Genomic DNA, 19,259 nt, shown 5'->3' with positions numbered 1-19,259 from the left:
AAAAAAAATAGCCCAATAGCTCTAATCTGTATACAGAGGGATAACGTTTATAGCAATATTCAGGATTTCTCCTAACATCATAGAAATACATTGATAGTGATAGCTCTTGACTGAAAGACAAATTCATTCTCTTGTTTCTCTGTTGGAAATACCACAGAAATAGTAAATGAAATGTCCCCAGCCGTGGTCAACGTATTTTTCCTGCACTGTTCATTGGCTGTTATCAAACCTTTAGAATAAACTTGTTCGGCAAGTTTATTGGGCATTGCTTGGTGTCCCAAATTGCTAGCTGATTATTTTAAAATCTGATCTCGTGTTTTTGTTTCTCTTCACCACTTGTGACCCTGTAGCTCTTTGGCCATTTAAACTAAGCCACAAATCTTAGACTGTCAGTGAAGGGGAGACCAGAAAGAACACAGTGTGAACAAAGAGTCAAATCCTTGGCTTTTTGTTCTAAAATAAGCTTTTATAATTCTTAGTAGAGCGATAGCATTTTGTATTTGTAAAATCTGAACTTTTTAGGGAAGAAAATATGTGGGGCTTTAAAGCAGCTATTGCTTGGAGGATAAAGAATGTAGAACTTATCTTTTAAACAACAGAATAGAAGATGATGTGTACTAAGAGCAGTTACCCTCCAAAAAGACTTAAGTACAACCACTTTGGAAAACTGGCAGTTTCTAATAAAGCGAAACATTCATCTACCCTTTGACCCAGCACGTTTACACCTTATCTAGGGACACATAGTGCTAGTAGATCAATTTACCCAAGATAAATAAAAATATATGTCCAAAAATATTTGTGTGTAAACATTTATAGCAATTTTATTCATAGTAGTAAAAAATTGGGAATAATCTAAATGTCTATCAGGTGACTAGATAAACTGTAAAATTTTCATACAGATTTTAAAGATGTGACTTACTTAACAGAAGAGAAGGTATATGAAATTACTGAATTATGTAGAGAAAGAGAGGATTATTCCCCCTTAACTGTGTTATTGGAAGAGTTTTTTCTAGTGCTGAGGCATTGGTAGAGAGCTTCTGGAAAGCTAAACAACACACCAAGGAAGAACTGAAGTCTCTTCAAGCAAAGGATGAAGAGAAGAATGAAAATGAAAAGGCAAAAGCTGCATGTTCTGCTGCTGCTATGGAAGAAGACTCAGAAGCATCTTCCTCAAGCACAGGTGATAGCTCACAGGGAGACAACAATTTGCAAAAATTAGGCCCTGATGATGTGTCTGTGGATACTGATTCCATTAGAAGGGTCTACACCAGATTGCTCTCTAATGAAAAAATTGAAATTGCCTTTCTCAATGCACTTGTATATTTGTCACCTAACGTGGAATGTGACTTGATGTATCACAAGGTATACTCTCAAGATCCTAATTATCTGAATTTGTTCATTATAGTAATGGAGAACAGAAATCTCCACAGTCCTGAATATCTGGAAATGGCTTTGCCATTATTTTGCAAAGCAATGAGCAAGCTACCCCTTGCAGCCCAAGGAAAGCTGATCAGACTGTGGTCTAAATACAATGCAGACCAGATTCGGAGAATGATGGAGACAGTTCAGCAACTTATTACTTACAAAGTCATAAGCAACGAATTTAACAGTCAAAATCTGGTGAATGATGATGATGCCATTGTTGCTGCTTCGAAGTGCTTGAAAATGATTTACTATGCAAATGGTAGTGGGAGGGGAAGTGGACACAAATCACAGTGAGGAAGATGATGAAGAGCCCATCCCTGAGTCCAGTGAGCTGACACTTCAGGAGCTTTTGGAAGAAGAGAGAAGAAACAAGAAAGGTCCTTGAGTGGACCCCCTGGAAAATGAACTTGGTGTTAAAACCCTGGATTGTCAAAAATCCCTTATCCCTTTTGAAGAGTTTATTAATGAACCACTGAAGGAGGTTCTAGAAATGCATAAAGATTATACTGTTTTCAAAGTAGAAACAGAACAAATTCTCTTTTATGACATACCCCTTTTTAGCGTATGCTGTCACAAAGAATTTGGGATTATATTATGACAATAGAATTCGCATGTACAGTGAACGAAGAATCACTGTTCTCTACAGCTTAGTTCAAGGACAGCAGTTGAATCCATATTTGAGACTCATTGTTAGATGTGACCATATCATAGATGATGCACTTGTCCGGCTAGAGATGATCACTATGGAAAATCCTGCAGACTTGAAGCAGTTCTATGTGGAATTTGAAGGAGAACAAGGTGAGGGAGGTGTTTCCAAATAATTTTTTCAGCTGGTCGTGGAGGAAATCTTCAATCCAGATATTGGTATGTTCACGTACGATGAACTTACAAAATTGTTTTGGTTTAATCCATCTTCCTTTCTTTTCTTTCTTTTTCTTTTTTTTTTTTTTGAGATGGAGTCTCGCTCTGTCACCCAGACTGGAGTGCAGTGGCATGATCTCTGCTCACTGCAAGCTCCACCTCCCGGGTTCACACAATTCTCCTGCCTCAGCCTCCTGTGTAGCTGGGACTACAGGTGTGCACCACCACACCCGGCTAATTTTTGTATTTTTAGTAGAGACAGGGTTTCACTGTGTTAACCAGGATGGTCTCGATCTCCTGACTTCGTGATCCATCTGCCTCGGCCTCCCAAAGTGCTGGGATTACAGGCGTGAGCCACCACACCCGGCTAATCCATCTTTTCAAACTGAGGGTTGGTTTACTCTGATTGGCATAGTACTGGGTCTGGCTATTTACAATAACTGTATACTGGGTGTACATTTTCCCATGGTTGTCTACAGGAAGGTAATGGGGAAAAAAGGAACTTTTTATCACTTGGGAGACTGTCACCCAGTTTTATATCAGAGTTTAAAAGATTTATTGGAGTATGAAGGGAATGTGGAAGATGACATGATGATCACTTTCCAGGTATCACAGACAGATCTTTTGGTAACCCAATGATGTATGCTCTAAAGGAAAATGGTGATAAAATTCCAATTACAAATGAAAACAGGAAGAAATTTGTCAATCTTTATTCTGACTACATTCTCAATCAGTAGAAAAACAGTTCAAGGCTTTTCGGAGAAGTTTTCATACGGTGTCCAATGAATCTCCCTTAAAGTACTTACTCAGACCAGAAGAAATTGAATTGCTTATATGTGGAAGCCAGAATCTAGATTTCCAAGCACTAGAAGAAACTACGGAATATGACGGTGGCTATACCAGGGACTCCGTTCTGATGAGGGAGTTCTGGGAAATCATTCATTTATGGATGAACAGAAAAGACTCTTCTTGCAGTTTACAGTGGGCACAGACAGAGCACCTGTGGGAGGACCAGGAAAATTAGTGATGATTCTAGCCAAAAATGGCCCAGACACAGAAAGGTTACCTACATCTCCTACTTGCTTTAATGTGCTTTTACTTCCAGAATATTCAGGCAAAGAAAAACTTAAGGAGAGATTGTTGAAGGCCATCACATATGTGAAGCATTTGGCATGCTGTAAAACAAAACAAAACACAAAAAAGGAAGAAAAAATTTTTTAAAAATTTAAAAATATAACAAGAGGGATAAATTTGTGGTGGTGATAGTGTCCCAGTACAAAAAGGCTGTAAGAAAACCACAGTAGTCACCTGTTGTCTGTGACTCCCTTCTTTACTGGGGACATGTGGGCCGGAACAGCAGATTTCAGCTACATATATGAACAAATCCTTTATTATTATAATTTTTTTTGAGTGAAAGTGTTACATATTGTTTCACTTGTATGTACAGAGAGGTTTTTCTGAGTTATTTAAGGGTTAAATCACTTTTGCTTGTGTTTATTACTGCTTGAGGTTGAGCCTTTTGAGTATTTAAAAAATACATACCAACAGAACCACTCTCCCAAGGAAAATATTGCCACCATTTGTAGACCATGTAACCTTCAAGTATGTGCTACTTTTTTGTCCCTGTATCTAACTCAAATCAGGAGCTGTATTTTTTTTTTTAATGATTTGCTTTTGAAACTTGAAGTCTTGGAAACTGTGATGCAATTACTGCTCTTCTAGACCCCAAAGAGTTTTCTGTGCAAAATCTTGAGAATCAATAAAGATGGAAGGGAGAAATTGGAAAAAAATTTCATACAATGCAATATAATGGAGTAAATTACTAATAGTGCCACATGCATGCATCTCAAAAACATGATGCTGAGTAGATGAAGCCAGACCCCAAATAGCACACCCTGCATGATTTCGTTTATATGAAATTCTGGCACACACAAAATTAATCTGTGATGATAGAAATCAGAAAAGTGTTTGCCTAGGAGTGGTAATTGATGGGGGGTTGGGAAGCATAAGAAAAATTTCTGGTGTGATAGAATATTCTATATCTTGATAAGACTATAGGTTACAAAAGTGTATACATTTGTTAAAACTAATCGAATTGTTCATACACTATATGTAAATTATACCTTAGTGAAAGAAAGGAGATAAAAGTCTATCCAGCGGGAGTGAGGAGGAGATTTGGAGAGAAAGTAGACATGGTTTGGATGCTAGTGTGTACTGAAGATTCCTCTTTCCCCAGCCTTGTTGACCACACTTTGTTCCTCTTGACCCAAGAATGTCCAACATGGCATTGGAGACTGTATAGGTAAGGTGTCCAGGTAATGAGCTGAGAGAGTCTCACAGAATCTAGATGATATGTTCGGCTGTGTTCCCACCCAAATCTCATCTTGAACTGTAGCCCCCATAGTCCTTATGGGTTGTGGGAGGGACGTGGTGGGAGGTAATTGAATCATGGGGGCTGGTTTTTTCCCATGATGTTCTCGTGATAGTGAATAAGTCTCATGAGATCTGATGGTTTTATAAAGGACAGTTCTTTTGCACACACTGTCTTGCCTGTTGCCATGTAAGATGTCCCTTTGCTCCTCCTTCGTCTTCAGCCATGATTGTGAGGCCTCCCCAGCCATGTGGAACTGTGAGTCCATTAAACCTCTTTTTCTTTATAAATTACCCAGTCTCTGGTATTTATTCATGGCAGTATGAAAATGGACTAATACACTAGATCTCACTGTGTATGAGGTAGAGCATAGAAAAGCCACTTAGATTTTCCCAATCCCTTCATTCTATGTCCTCTTTTCCTACTGGAGGTGGGTTGCAGCATTCTGGGACAGAGCTAGTGAACCTAAGGCAAACTCGATTGGGTTTGGAGGAAGTCAGTTGTGGATGCCAACTCCAGTTGCCTCTTACACCTGATGCCAGGACAGTGCTGCAAACCCACCCACCAGTAAAAACCATTCCCAGGGAGAAAGGAGCTGAGGAACAGAGGCTTGAATCGACTGAGTTTAATACTGAGTCGCTACATTTTAAAATGGTAGCAATTGAGTTTAACTTGAATGACAAGGTTAGGTGTTTCAGTCGTCAAAGAGAAATGTGTTCTCAAGAGCGAAGTTGATTTTAGTTAAAGTCTTCTCATCCTCAGTAGATGCTCAGAGCCGTTTATAAGAATCCTCCTCTCTCTTTTCCTGTCTCAAACATTAATAACTTAAGGCTATAATTGTGAGAGGAAATCCTACAGCACCTACCAGTGGGCATGTGAGCTCAGCTGAGGTGGCAGGGAAGAACTCCAGACATGAAATTGATAGAATTACAAAAATTAAAATGAAGTGACATTTAGAAATATGAAACTACCCATGAAAAATAATTTTTGCAATTATAGACCAAAATATGATTTTTTTCAGGGATGAATGGTATCTGGAAAAAAGCACTGACAGTTTAAAAATGAAAACTAAAAATTACTTTGTTAGCAACATTTTATAGATTAAAAAAAAAAGTAAACAAACATTTTTATTTGATACTCTGATAATTTCAATTATTTGCTTCGGTGGGCAATTCGTCTGGTAACTTTGAATGAATTTTTAATTTGAAGCCTGCACTTACTTATGGAAAAACAACCTTTCATGTAGGACTTTGTAAAGCTTCAGTTACTGATCTATATGAACAATTAAAATTATTTAGAGCATGTTAGCTAATGACATGGAAACAGAGAAATCTTAGCTGCTGAGCTAGAGGAGGGTCTCTTACTGTGACTGTTTTCTCAGTCCAATTCATGTATTCCTTTGAGTTTCTATAACTGAATCCATGTATTATTTTTCCAAATTGAACTAGTTTTTTTCTGATAATGTCTTATGAGTGTTTCAGTCACCTTTCAGGCAAAATGCAGTGAATCATAGTGTTTTAAGCACCCCAAGAACATGAATTTTCCAGAAGTGGAGAAGCTGTATTGTTCAGGGATGATATGGTTTGGCTGTGTCCCCACCCAAATCTCATTTTGATTTGTAGCTCCCATAATTCCCATGTGTTGTGGGAGGGACCTGGTGCGAGGTGATTGAATCATAGGGGCAGGTCTTTACAATGCTGTTCTTATGATAGTGAATAAGTGTCATGAGATCTGATGGCTTTATGAAGGGGAGTTTCCCTACACAATCCCTCTTTGCCTCCCACCATCCATGTAAGATGTGCTTTTGCTGCTCCTTGCCTTCCACCATGATTGTGAGGCCTCCCAAGCCATGTGGAACTGTGAGTCCATTAAACCTGTTTTTCTTTATAAATTATCCAGTCTCAGGTATGTCTTTATTAGCAGCGAGAGAATGAACTAATACAAGGGACATTTTGGCACTGACAACCCTCACCCTCTGGAGGAGGATGAGGCCTTGCTAGTGCTAATTTGGGTTCAAGAAGTAGGAGAGCTTGATATTTGTAAAAATTTTGTTAAAGGGTAGCACACAGATTTTAATGCATCTCATTTATTTTAATATAAATGCTTCTGAAATGATGATATATATAAGCCATGTGTATTAAAAGGGCAGTGGCTTGGCAGTTTTCCACCAAGATCTTACCTTGAGCCAAAAAAGTCAATGGTGACTACATGCCCTCCATGAAACATTTTGAGGGTGAAGTATATATTACATCTGTTTCTGCCCTGCATGGCCACTATGCTTTCAGTAGGGTTTGTAACCTTGCTGAAATAGAGTGGGAATATAATCTAATCTCACAGTGGGGTGTGAATTTGTGGTTACTCCCCATCAATATATATAGCCCAGCAGAAAAATCTGTAAAATTTTTGAAAAAATTTTATTTTTCCTTTGCAGAAAGAAGCATTATTAAGAATAGGTAGGTTCTATGCTAAATGTTCAACATAATCCAAGGATATTGGGTATCTCTGGAAGTAACTTGTCATTGTTTCATGGTTGGCTCAACTCCAGTAGTGCAAAGAGACTTTCAATTTAGTGGGAGAAATCCTTTTGAGGTCGAGAAGGAAGAACTGGTTTAAATATGACGATGAACTGAACTGTGTCCCTCCAAAATTTGTATGTTGAAGCCTTAACTTCCATTGTGATTGTATTTGAAGATCGGATTTTTAGGTGGCAAGGTTAGGTGAGGTCATAAGGGTGGGGCCTAAGCTGATAGAATTAGTGTCCTTATAAGAAGAGAGAGAGACCAGCTGGGCATGGTGGCTTATGCCTGTAATCCTAGCACTGTGGGAGGCTGAGGCAGGCAGATTGCCTGAGCTCAGGGGTTAAAGACCAACCTGGGCAACATGGTGAAACCGTATCTCTACTAAAATACAAAAAATTAGATGGGTATGGTGGTACACGCCTGTAATCCCACATACTCTGGAGTCTGAGGCAAGAGAATCGTTTGAATCCGGAGGCAGAGGTTGCAGTGAGCCGAGATTGTGCCACTGCACTCCAGCCTGGGTGACAGGCCGAGACTCTGTCTCAAGAAAAAAAAAAAAAAAAAGAGACAGAGCAAAGCAAAGCTCTCTCTTTCTCTGTCATATAAGAATATAGGGAGAAGGTGGCTGTGTACAAGCCAAGAGAAGAGGCCTCAGAATGAAACGTATCTTGCTGGCACCTTAATCTTGGACTTCTCAGCCTCTAGAATGGTGATAAATAAATTTCTGTTGTCTAAGCCACCCAGTCTGTGGCATTTTGTAATGGCAACCTAAGCAAACTAATACAATTATTGAGCACCAACTTAAGTATTTCTTGAGTCTCACAAGCTATATGTGCTTGCTGGGTTGTTAAACTTATTCAATCAGTTGTTTTACACACACACACACACACACACACACACACACACACACACACACACGATACCAGCGTTCACCTTTAGAAATGAGCATGGTGGTTAAACCATATCACAGGTGAAGCCAGTTCTGGGGTTCTATCAGAGTGGTTCTGCAGTCACTGGCCAGGTTACCTGATTTCATCCTCTAGTGACATCCCACAGTAAAGCCACATGGGCCTATATATTATTCAAATCCCTGACAGAGTAATCTGTTCTTCTGTAGTGATGGATTTCTTAACCTTGGGTTTACAGGTAGACTTCATGGTTTTATAAATTTCATGAAATTTTATGCCAAATATATTTATGTGCATTTTCAGAGGAGAGGATTTATAGTTTTAAACAGATTCTCTAGTAATTCCAGACTCTAAGGTTAAGACCCATGGCTTCAGACCAACGTGTGGTGGAGATCTTATCAATAGTGAAGAGTCCAGCTCCAGGTTGAAGTCCTAGGTATGATCTCTCAGGTCTGACCAAAGGCAATTGCAAGGCTTTTCCTGGCAGGTCTCATGGGAGAGAGTTGTCCTCCCCACATCGTAGTGTCTGGAGGAGGGAGGTGCAGTCAAGGATTCAAGTCCCTCCACACTTACTGCTCATACTTACAGATATTTGCATTCATAGCCAAGACATCTCTATTTGGGGTCCTCCTTATCTATAGCCCTGCTAGAGGCGGGGGCACTTTTCAGGTACATCCACCAAGATGTTCCTTATAGGGGGACCTTGACTAAGACTCTTCTCTCCATTGGGTACTCTGACCCAGTACTTTTTAACCCTAGTTCTTCCCCCTCCTTCCTTTTTCTGTTTGTCTCTTGCCTTCACTCTCGTGGTAAATGAATAAAGGCCTGGTTGTTTCTTTCAGTTTGGCTTGTTGTCCTGTTTGATCACCTCGGGATCTGGCAGCTCAACAGGAACCAAGGGATTTTAAGAGGTCTCTTCTCCTTGGAAAGGTAACACTAAAATAGTTATTTAAGGGAGATCTTTACAAAAGAATGTGAATTCTCAGAGACATGGTTAATTCCAAGGAGCCTCAAAATGACTCATGTTCTTAATAATTCAGCTGGATTCTTCTTTACTTGGCCGGTAATACGATTTTAGTTCTATTTGGCATTTGGAAACTGGTGAAGTACTCCATCAAATTCTGGCTTTTTCTTCCAAATGTTCCACCAGGGTCACCTGTGGCCTCTGGTGTTAGTCAGACTATCCAACTACAATTATAGCACAAAACCACTCATTAGAATGGATCCCAGGCTTACACTTACACAATAGGCTCAGAGAACAGCCACACCTGCCTTATGTTAGGAACCTCATCCATGCATTTGTGCACACACTCAGGCTTATATGCATTTATTTCACTCAATAATTTTTACTAATCTATCTGGCATTTTCCAATTCTCTTAGAACCAGGGCCTTACTACTCCTATGTAACCGAGTTGGACAGAAAGATGAGGGCAGGGCATTGGCATGTGTTGAGCAGTGACCTTTAAGAACTATGAAAAATGCTTTTATAAACCTTATCTCCTGTGATCCTTCCATGAGTGTCATTTCATAGAAGAGGATATGGATTCACAGGTTAAGTAACATGCCCAAGGGAGCAAGTGGTGGCTTTGGGATATCATTGCAAAATCTGTGTCCTTTACCCCCGCCCACAGCATTTCCCTGGATGGAGGTCTGCTCTGTCCAACTTACCATTGTCTATTGAAGTTATCCATGATGTAATAAGACTATTAATGTTTGTATTAGTCTGTTCAGGCTGCGATAAAAAAATGCTACAGACTGGGTGGCTTGAACAACAGAAATTTATTTTCTCACAGTTCAGGAGGCTGGAACTCCAAAATCAAGGCCAGTGGGATTGTTTTTTTCTAAGGCCTCTCTCCTTGCCTTGTAGCTGGGCCACCTCCTTGCTGTGAACTCGTGTGGTCTTCTCTCCATGTGTGCACATTCCTAGTGTTTCTCTGTGTGCCCAAATATCCTTTTTTTTTTTTTTTAAAGATGGAGTCTTGCTCTGTCGACCAGGCTGGAGTGCAGTGGCACGATCTCGGCTCACTGCAACCTCTGCCTCCCGGGTTCAAATGATTCTCCTGCCTCAGCGTCCCGAGTAGCTGGGACTACAGGCACACGCCACCATGCTGGGCTAATTTTTTTTTTTTTTTTTGTATTTTTTAGTAGAGACAGGGTTTCACTGTGTTAGCCAGGATGGTCTCGATCTCCTGACCTCGTGATCTGCCCTCCTCGGCCTCCCAAAGTGCTGGGATTACAGGCATGAGCCACCGCACCCGACCACCAAATATCCTTTTCTTATACAAACTCCACTTAGATTTTGTTAGGTCCCACCCTACCAACCTCTTTAACCTAATCATCTCTTTCCAGGCCATATCTCCAGATGCAATCACATTCTTGGGTTCTGGAGGTTAGGGCTTCAACATGTGAATTTGGGAAGTTAATAGTTCAGCCTATAACAATGTTCCTATGGCCAGAGTTGGGCTCTGGGCTGTGTACGACCCAGGATCATCCCGAGGGCACAGTGGGACTCAATGAAAATCAGAAATTCCCTCTTGTCTCCTCCCCTACAAGTCTTCCACACAGGGAAATTTTATTAGAACTGACAAACAGGCTGGGTGTGGTGGCTCAACCTGTAATCCCAGCACTTTGGGAGACTGAGGTGGCCAGATTGCTTGAGCCTAGGAGTTCGAGACCAGCCTGGGCAACAAGTCAAGACCCCGTCTCTACAAAAAATACAAAAATTAGTCAGACATGGAGGTGCGTGCCTTTTGTCCCAGCTATTTGAGGGCCTGAGGCAGAATTGCTTGAGCCTGGGAGGTTGAGCCTGTAGTGAGCCAAGATTGCGCCACTGCACTCTAGCCTGGGTGACAGAGCAAGACCTTGTCTCAAAGAAACAAAACAAAAATTGACAAGAGAAGGTATACTGTGAGAAAAAGAGTAAGTGGCAGCTGATGGAACCACTTCCTCTTGCCCCCCCATCCTTCCACTGCCTCTCTCAGATGCTTACTCATGGATCACTCCGGCACTCATTTAGCCCATTATGATTTATCAGGTCCCCTACTGTGGTGAGGCTGTGTGAGGGGCTGAGCACATACCAGCAGTCCCTGCTTTAAGGAGCCCCCGCTTCTGGTGGGAGAGCTGGAGGGTAAGAAATACACAAAGTACCCTCTGGGATAAGCACTGTGGGTAGTGGGTTCAGGACCTGTTTGAGGTCAGGTGGTTGGGTAAGCCTTCTTGAGGTGGTGACCTTCAGGCAGAGACTTGAACAGTGAGAAGCAGCAGACTCTTGAAAAGTCGATGGAAGTGTTTCCAGACAGAAAGAATCGCATGTGCAAAGTCTTTTGGGAAGAAAGGAATATTGGAGAAACAGAGAAGAGACCAGGGTGGCTAGAGATGAGTGAGGGAGAGAGATGAGAAAGGGAGAGCAGCCTAGGGTGAGGGTGGAGGATAAAGCGGGGGAGGATGCCTGGAGACTGTAGGCTGTGGCAAGAGGAACTCAAATTGAGAGCTACAACCTTTCTACAAAACCCATTCAAGAGCTGAGCCTCAGGCAGCGCTGAGGCTTTCTAAGGCAGATTAGACCTTGCTTGTGTAATAGGATTTGAGGGAAGTACTGAAGAACATCCTTATCCAGAAACTCGAGCTCTTACAAGTACAACCCTTAGTGTCTGTTGGTAGTGTGTGTCATTCTATCACTAAAGAATCCTCTTTCGAGTACCTTTGCTTTGTCTGGGAAGAGGCTACTGCTGAAGTAGATAACCCTGGCAGCATATCCCATGACACTTATAGCATCAATTAGTTTATCAGATCATTCTACCTTGATAACTAGAGAGGAGCAGCTTATTAGAGAATGAGGTAGGCTTTGGACTCTGCCTGTACTATTTCCAACTCTGAAATTTGCCCCCTGTTAACAACATCGCCCATCCTTTTCCTAGAGTATTGCTTGTATTATCTTTTCCCTGTCTCCCCACCCTCATCCAGCCGCACTTCCTTAGACTGCAGATCCTTCCACAATGTTCCAGTCTGTCTCCACTGCCTCCTGGTGTGATTTACCTCTGCACACAGACAGGACTCCTCCATGCCCTCATTTTTTGCCCCAAATTTCTCACCTTGGGAATTTCACTGCACCTATCACGCAGACTCTAGATTGTTGTCAATCACATCATCTGCTTTTTCTGTTGTGACTCTGTGGTTTCTGAGACTCACGGAAGAAAGAGATCTCATAACCTTAATGATTGGTCCTGAGATTCCTCTCACTGTTGCGCCGTTCCAGCTGCACCACTGTCCTTATAAATTTCAGCTCATTGTTTAACACGTATCTCATCTCTAGGCTTCTTGGCCATACGCAGAGAAGTAGTGGAGCTTTGGTGTCATAACCCTGGGTTCAAAACCTACTCTACTTCTTAGTCACAGCTGTGTGGTCTTGGTCAAGTTATTTAGCTTATCAGAACTTTAGCTTCCTCATCTAAACAGATTTACTAAAACATGTTTAATAAAACTTTTCATGGGCTGGGCACAGTGGCTCACCCCTGTAATCCCAGCACTGTGGTAGGCTGAAGCGGGTGGATTGCTTGAGGTCCGAAGTTTGAAACCAGCCTAGGCAACATGGTGAAACTCTGTGCTACTAAAAATACAAAAATTAGCCAGTGTGTTGGTGGGCACCCGTAATCTCAGCTACTCAGGAGGCTGAGGCAGGAGAATCTCTTGAACCTGGGAGGCAGAGGTTGCAGTGAGCCAAGGTCTCACACTGCACTCGAGCCTGGGTAACAGAGCGAGACCCTGTCTTAAAAAAAATAAATAAAACTTGTTCACCTGTATAAGTTTGAATTAGGTTGGTTGTACAATGCTTAGTATTGAGATGAGTCTGATAATAAAGGATCAAGAAATGTAGATTAATTCCCTCTTTTCTCTCCAGTGCTCAAAGAGCAGATGCTACATTCATATAAAATCCAGGTCCCAGGGCACATTATCACAGTCTCTGCAGAAGAAGCCAGGCCAAGCCCTGGCTGTGAATCCATTGGGATCACCAGTGCCAGAGGAGAAGGTCACGTGAGCTTCTTCCCTAATATGGTAACCGTGCTCTCTGAAATCACAGTAACTCATTTTGCAGCCTCATAAATTCAAGGAACACTGCTAGATTTGCCTCTTCCTTTGTCCAAAGCCAAAGTTCATGTTGTATTTAATCAGGACTAAAGTGGTATCAGGAATAAGCAACCTGCAAGATATATGTGTAATGACTAATAGATATATTTCAGTATAATTCTACTGTCTGGAGAGGAAAATAGCAACAGGACCATGACAGTCACCACAAAAGGAAAAGTAATTAATGGCATTGACTAGCAAATGATTCCAACGTAATCATTGTTCATGATGCACAGGGCAGAAACATTAACTTAAAGGATATTTCTCTATTTCTTCTGGGTAGATGTCAAACATAAAATACAATTAAAACAACGTAAGCATGATAGCCACATGGTTAGCTCTAAATTACTTTTGAATGCATGGAGAGACAAGATTGAAGAGAAAGCTTGAAAATAGTTTTCATTAAGCAAGTAATTATTTAGTACCTACTATATACCTTGAGTAAGTTCTGGGTTAGAGAATATAAAGATGCTGCTGGAAAAACCCTACTGAAGTTGCCAATGGGTGGCCTTGAGCTTGGTTGCTGCTGCCGTCAGAAGATGTTTGGGAAACAGGAAAGACCCATGGACACCTGGGAGACAGTGGTGAAAATTCTTTTTTTTTTTTTTTTTTTTTTTTTTTTTTGAGATGGAGTCTTGTTCTGTTGTCCAGGCTGGAGTGCAGTGGCGGGATCTCCACTCACTGCAACCTCTGCCACCCGGGTTCAAGCGATTCTCCTGCCTCAGCCTCCCGAGTAGCTGGGATTACAGGTGCATGCCACCATGCTGGCTAATTTTTGTATTTTTAGCAGAGACGGGGTTTCACCATGTTGGTCAGGCTGGTCTCGAATTCCTGACCTCAAGTGATCTGCCTGCCTCAGCCTCCCAAAGTGCTGGGATTACAGGTGTGAGCCACCATGCCCAGCCTGGTGAAAGGTTTTGAATTGGGTTTCAGACTAGAGGGTGATCTTTGTTTCTTAAAGGAACTAAGAAGGAAGCTCAAATATCCCTTACACCTGTGGCACAGTTTTAACAAACACAGTTTTATTTTTACTTATTATTTTTTTGAGACGGAGTCTCATTCTGTCACCCATGCTGGACGATCTTGGCTCACTGCAACCTCTGCCTCCTGGGTTCAAGTGATCCTTCTGCCTCAACCTCCCAAGTAGCTGGGACTACAGGCATACGCCACCATGCCCGGCTAATTAAAAAAAAATATTTTTAGTAGAGATGGGGTTTCACCATATTGATCAGGCTGCTCTTGAACTCCTGACATCGTGATCTGCCTGCTTCAGCATCCCAAAGTGCTGGGATTACAGGCGTGAGCTACCGTGCCTGGCCGACAAACACACTTTTAAGTAGCTTTGAATTTAAAGGGCGTATACAGAGTGATGCCTTTAGCATTTTAGCCTTATTAGAGCCAGATAAATGTATTAGTAGTTGATAAAGTACAGTGAAGGAAGAATATAATAATGGTGATGATAATGATGACAATGTGAACATAAAAAATTTCATTTCTTGAGGTCTTATCACATGCCAGACATTTGGCTACACACATTTCTGAGAACAGTTCATTCAATTCCTACAACACATTTTTAGTCTTGGACCCTCAGTCTCTTCAGCTGTAACTTCTCTTAACTTTGCAGGATGGCTAATTTCATGTGTCAGCTTGCCTGGGCTAAGGGATGCCCAGATAGCTGGGAAAATATTATTTCTGTGTTGACTGTGAGGGGTTTCAAGAAGAAGTTAACATTTGAATCCATCTGCTGAGTTACAGAATCGCCCTCACCAGTGTGGGCAGACATCACCCAATACTTTGAGTCTCTAAATAGAATGAAGAGGCAGAGGAAGGGCTAATTTGCTCTCTCTATTTGAGTTGGAACATCCACCTTCTTCTGTCTCAAGAACCAAGGACATCAGAGCTCCTGGTTCTTGTAGCTTTGGACTTAGCCTGGTATACCATTGGCTCCTCTGGTTCTCAGGCCTATGGACTTGGATTGAACTACACCACTGGCTTTCTTGCGTCTCCAAATTGCAGTGGCATATGATGGGGCTTTTTGGCTTCCAGAGTTGTATGAGATAATTTCCATATATGTCTCATATATATATGAGACAGAGAGAGGTTTATAAATATATGTATACACACACACATTCTATTTTCCTGTTTCTCTGGAAAACCCTGACTAATACATTTCATTAGACCTCTGTTTTCCCATCTGAAAAGTGAAGACAGTAATTTTTACCTCTAGAATTGTTGCAAAGATTACATGAGACAATGGACCCAAGGCCCATAGCACAGCATCTGTTAACTGAGTAAGCATTCACTAGAAATTGTATTTATGTTTGTGACTATTATAGGGAAATGTCTTTAGGCGTGTGTCTAAGGGCTGAATTCAGCTGTGTGTCTCACTCCTCCCTGAGGGCTGTGCCACGGTCAGGTGGCTTCCAATCTGTACTCAATTGTTACTGTACAGACTGTTTCTTTTTTAGTGGCAGTCCCTTAGGTCCCAAGGTGAATAGGCCGCTACTTAGAAGAATCTCATGTTTTGTGACCTCCCCCCGACATTTATTAACCCTATGAGAGTGGGTAATGCCCTGCTCTGGGCCTGAGGGAAGCCCATAAATGCTTTTAGAAGTCCCAGTATTATGACACCTTTCCAGCCTTCTCCTGCTTTCACTGTTCTCAACCCCTTGGCAACCCACATCCCAAAAGCAAGAGGAGGGAAATTTTCAGATGCATTTCTGTATTAGTGTTTTCTAGATAAACAGAACCAACAGGATGTATATATGTAGAAAGAGATTTATTACAAGAAATCGGTTCGTGCAATTATAGAGGCTGGGCAGTCTTAATATCTGCAGGGTGAGTGGGTAGGCTGGAGACCCAGGAGAGCTGATGGTGTGGTTCCAGTCTGAATCTGAAGGCCTGAGAACCAGGAGAGCCTCTGTTGTGGTACCAATCCAAAGGCTGGCAGGCCGAAGACTCAGGAAGAGCCTATGCATCAGTGTGAGTCTGAAGGCAGGAAAAAACCCATGTCAGTCAAAAGGCAGTCAGGCAGGAGAGATTCCCTCCTACTTGGGGGAGAGTTGGCTTTTTCCTTCTATTTAGACCTTCAGCTGATTTGATGAGGTCCACTGACACTAGGGAGGGCAATTGCTTTACTTAGTCCATTGGCTTAAATGTTAATCTCATCCAAAACACTTTCGCAGAAACACCAGGAAAAATACTTAACTGAATATCAGCTACCCCATGGCCCAGTCAGTTTGCTAGATAAAAGTAACCATCATACATAATTTTGGTTCCCATCAGTCTTGAAGCCCCCTTCCTCATCCTCCAGTAAACTGGCATTTTGTTCAAAGCTTCTAAGTTATTTAAAGTTTTACACAACAATGAGGGTGAGTTTTTAATCAAAGGGGTAGGAAAGGAAGAATAGGGTGAGGAGGGAATAGCAGAAGTAATTAAAAGTAATTGTCATAATTGCTTCTTGTTAAACCCAGCTAATTGGTAAAAAGTAACAAGGGAGGAGGCCATTATGCAAATATATGGCCACTCTGTTCAGCTCCAGTTGAAGATATCAGAGCAGAGAATGGGAACGTTTCTACTAGCTAGTTACATGATGATCTGTTCATTGTCCTTATCAGTAACCCTTCGCCTCTTGCAGCATCAGACTTCTGCAATCTTGCTGGTTTTTCCCAACCTGTCCAAATCCAATTCAGTATATTCAGAGACATTCCTTACCCTTAAGTTATACTATTTTCCTCTCTGTCTTCCAACTACTACCACCCTTTAATGCCCAGCTCAAATTCTGTCTTCCCCTTGATGCGTTCTGTGACTGTTTCAGTCCTTAGTCTTCCATTTTCTCTGTATTCTTTTCTTCTTGCCTTTTCTGTACACTGACAGCTGCCTATATGACCTGTGTTACTAGTGGCTGCTTTTCCCTGTTATTTCCCCATCAGGAGAGTAAAAAACCTTACAACAAAGCTCTGTTTCTTGTGTACCTTCTTTAGCACCAAGAACAGTCCCAGGAATAGAGTTGCTAATAGATACTTATGAATAATGAGTGACTCTAACATGTAAGCCAAATCCTATCGTTCCTCTGGGCAAAACTCTGTAATGACTCCTCATCTTACAAGAAAAGCTAAAGTTGTATAACAGACAACACAGGATAGTTTCATCGGATCCCTTGTCCCTTCTCTTCTTGTCTCCATAATTCTCCACCTTGTTCACTGGAGCATCACCTAAATTGTCTTCCATGAAAACCTCTCAAGTGTAGGGGTTTCCAAGTACTGTAAGGGCAAATACAAATAAAAATGAGAGGCTGGGCCTGTAATCCCAGCACTTTGGGGGGCCAAGGCGGGTGGATCACCTGAGGTCAGGAGTTCGGGACCAGCCTGGCCAACATGGTGAAACCGTGTCTACTAAAAATAGAAAAAATTAGCTGGGTGTGGTGGCAGATGCCTGTAATCCCAGCTACTCAGGAGGCTGAGGCAATAGAATCACCCGAACTTGGGAGGTGGAGATTGCAGTGAGCTGAGATCGTGCTGTTGCACTCAGCCTGGGCGACAAGAGCAAGACTCCATCTCAAAAAAAAAAAAAAAAAAAAGTGTCATTGTTTCTGTTGAAAATAAGGGAAGAGACCTCCTTTTTCTTAGAGCATTTGCTTTAGAAAACTTGTCATTGTAAATTCTCTGTCACTTTGGCAGGTGTCTTGATCCCAAACTACCTTCTATCATCAGGATATAAGAAGTTTATTTTTCCTTTGAATAAAGCCAATTGGGAAACACAGATGGCCACTGCAGTTACTCAGTGAATCTAGGATGAGCCATGTGTGACAAATCATGCTGCCAAGTCCTCTTATGGAGGCGTAGGTGTTGTTTATTTTGAGAACATGTATGTAACACTCTGTATCTGCTTGGCTGTATAAAAAGGTGAGACTTCTTTCTGTCTTCACAATTTCTTAGTGGGTCGCCTGTGATGTGTACCACGTTCTGGTTCAATGTTTATTCAATAATGAAATTGTTTTCTTCCTCTTCTTCCTTTGTGGGAAGTTTTCTGGGTTGGAGATATGTTGTTGTTAATTGTATTTCTCTAACACTGCCTGCCTGGATGTTTCTAGTTGTCCTTCATGCTACAGACTTCTATCTTGAGAAGGGGAAGGTGAGGACTTGTGTCTACAATTTCTTCCACTCTTTCTTTCATACTCCAGTGCATTATACAGAGTGGGTGCTACAGTCTGAATGCTTGTGTCTCCTCCAAATTCCTATGTTGGAATTCTAATCCCTGCGATGATTGTGTTAGGAGGTAGGGCTTTGGGAAGGTGATGAGGTAGTGAGGACATAGCCTGCATGAATGGCATTAGTGTCCTTATAAAAGGGAACCCAGAGAGCTAGCTTGCCTCTTCCACCATGAGAGAACACAGTGAGAAGGTGCCATCTATGAATGAGGGAGCAGACCTTCACCAGAGACCAAATCTACTGCCACCTTGATCTTAGACTTCCCAGACTCCAGAATTGTGAGAAATAGATTTCTATTGATATAAGCCATACATTTTATGGTTTTAAAAAATAGCAGCCTGAAACAGTAGGTTTTCTATTTCCTTTTTCTTCTTCGAAAGGATTTCACTATATTATATCCTTCTTCTTCCTGGTGGCATTAATCTCTACGCATTGTTTTTTTTTTAATAGCAGAAACTCTGTGATCTGTGTCTACTAGACACACATATATATATATTTAGTATGGGAACTGTTTAGTTTGGCTTCTCCCAGAAGTAGATCCTTAGACAAAGATTTTATTTGGGAGTAGTTTATTTGGGAGGGGGAGGGAACAGAGGTAGGGGAGTGGGAAAGTGAGAAATAGAGGGGAAGGTGGACAGCAAAGGGTGGGCCATTAAGACAGTTCCTGCAGTGGGTAACTGGCGCTTAATCTCCCGTGGAAACTGGAGGAATAGTGGAAAACATACATCAGAACTAGCCTATGGAGGGGCCAGGTAGCTGGGTCTTTATTAACTCCCAAGAGTCAGTGATTAAGGGCTGCTGGTGGGAGGGAGGGAGACATTCATTCCCTGGCACTTCCAA

The 19,259-nt window shown here is 41.7% G+C and overlaps 1 pseudogene; it reads left to right on the top strand.

Annotated features, from left to right (window-relative positions):
* On the top strand, positions 899-4,071 carry UBE3AP2 (ubiquitin protein ligase E3A pseudogene 2; annotated as a pseudogene).

This window comes from Homo sapiens, chromosome 21 (assembly GCF_000001405.40).
Source record: "Homo sapiens chromosome 21, GRCh38.p14 Primary Assembly".
In the NCBI taxonomy this organism is placed as follows: Eukaryota; Metazoa; Chordata; class Mammalia; order Primates; family Hominidae; genus Homo; species Homo sapiens.
This window is presented reverse-complemented; position numbering and strand designations above follow the sequence as displayed.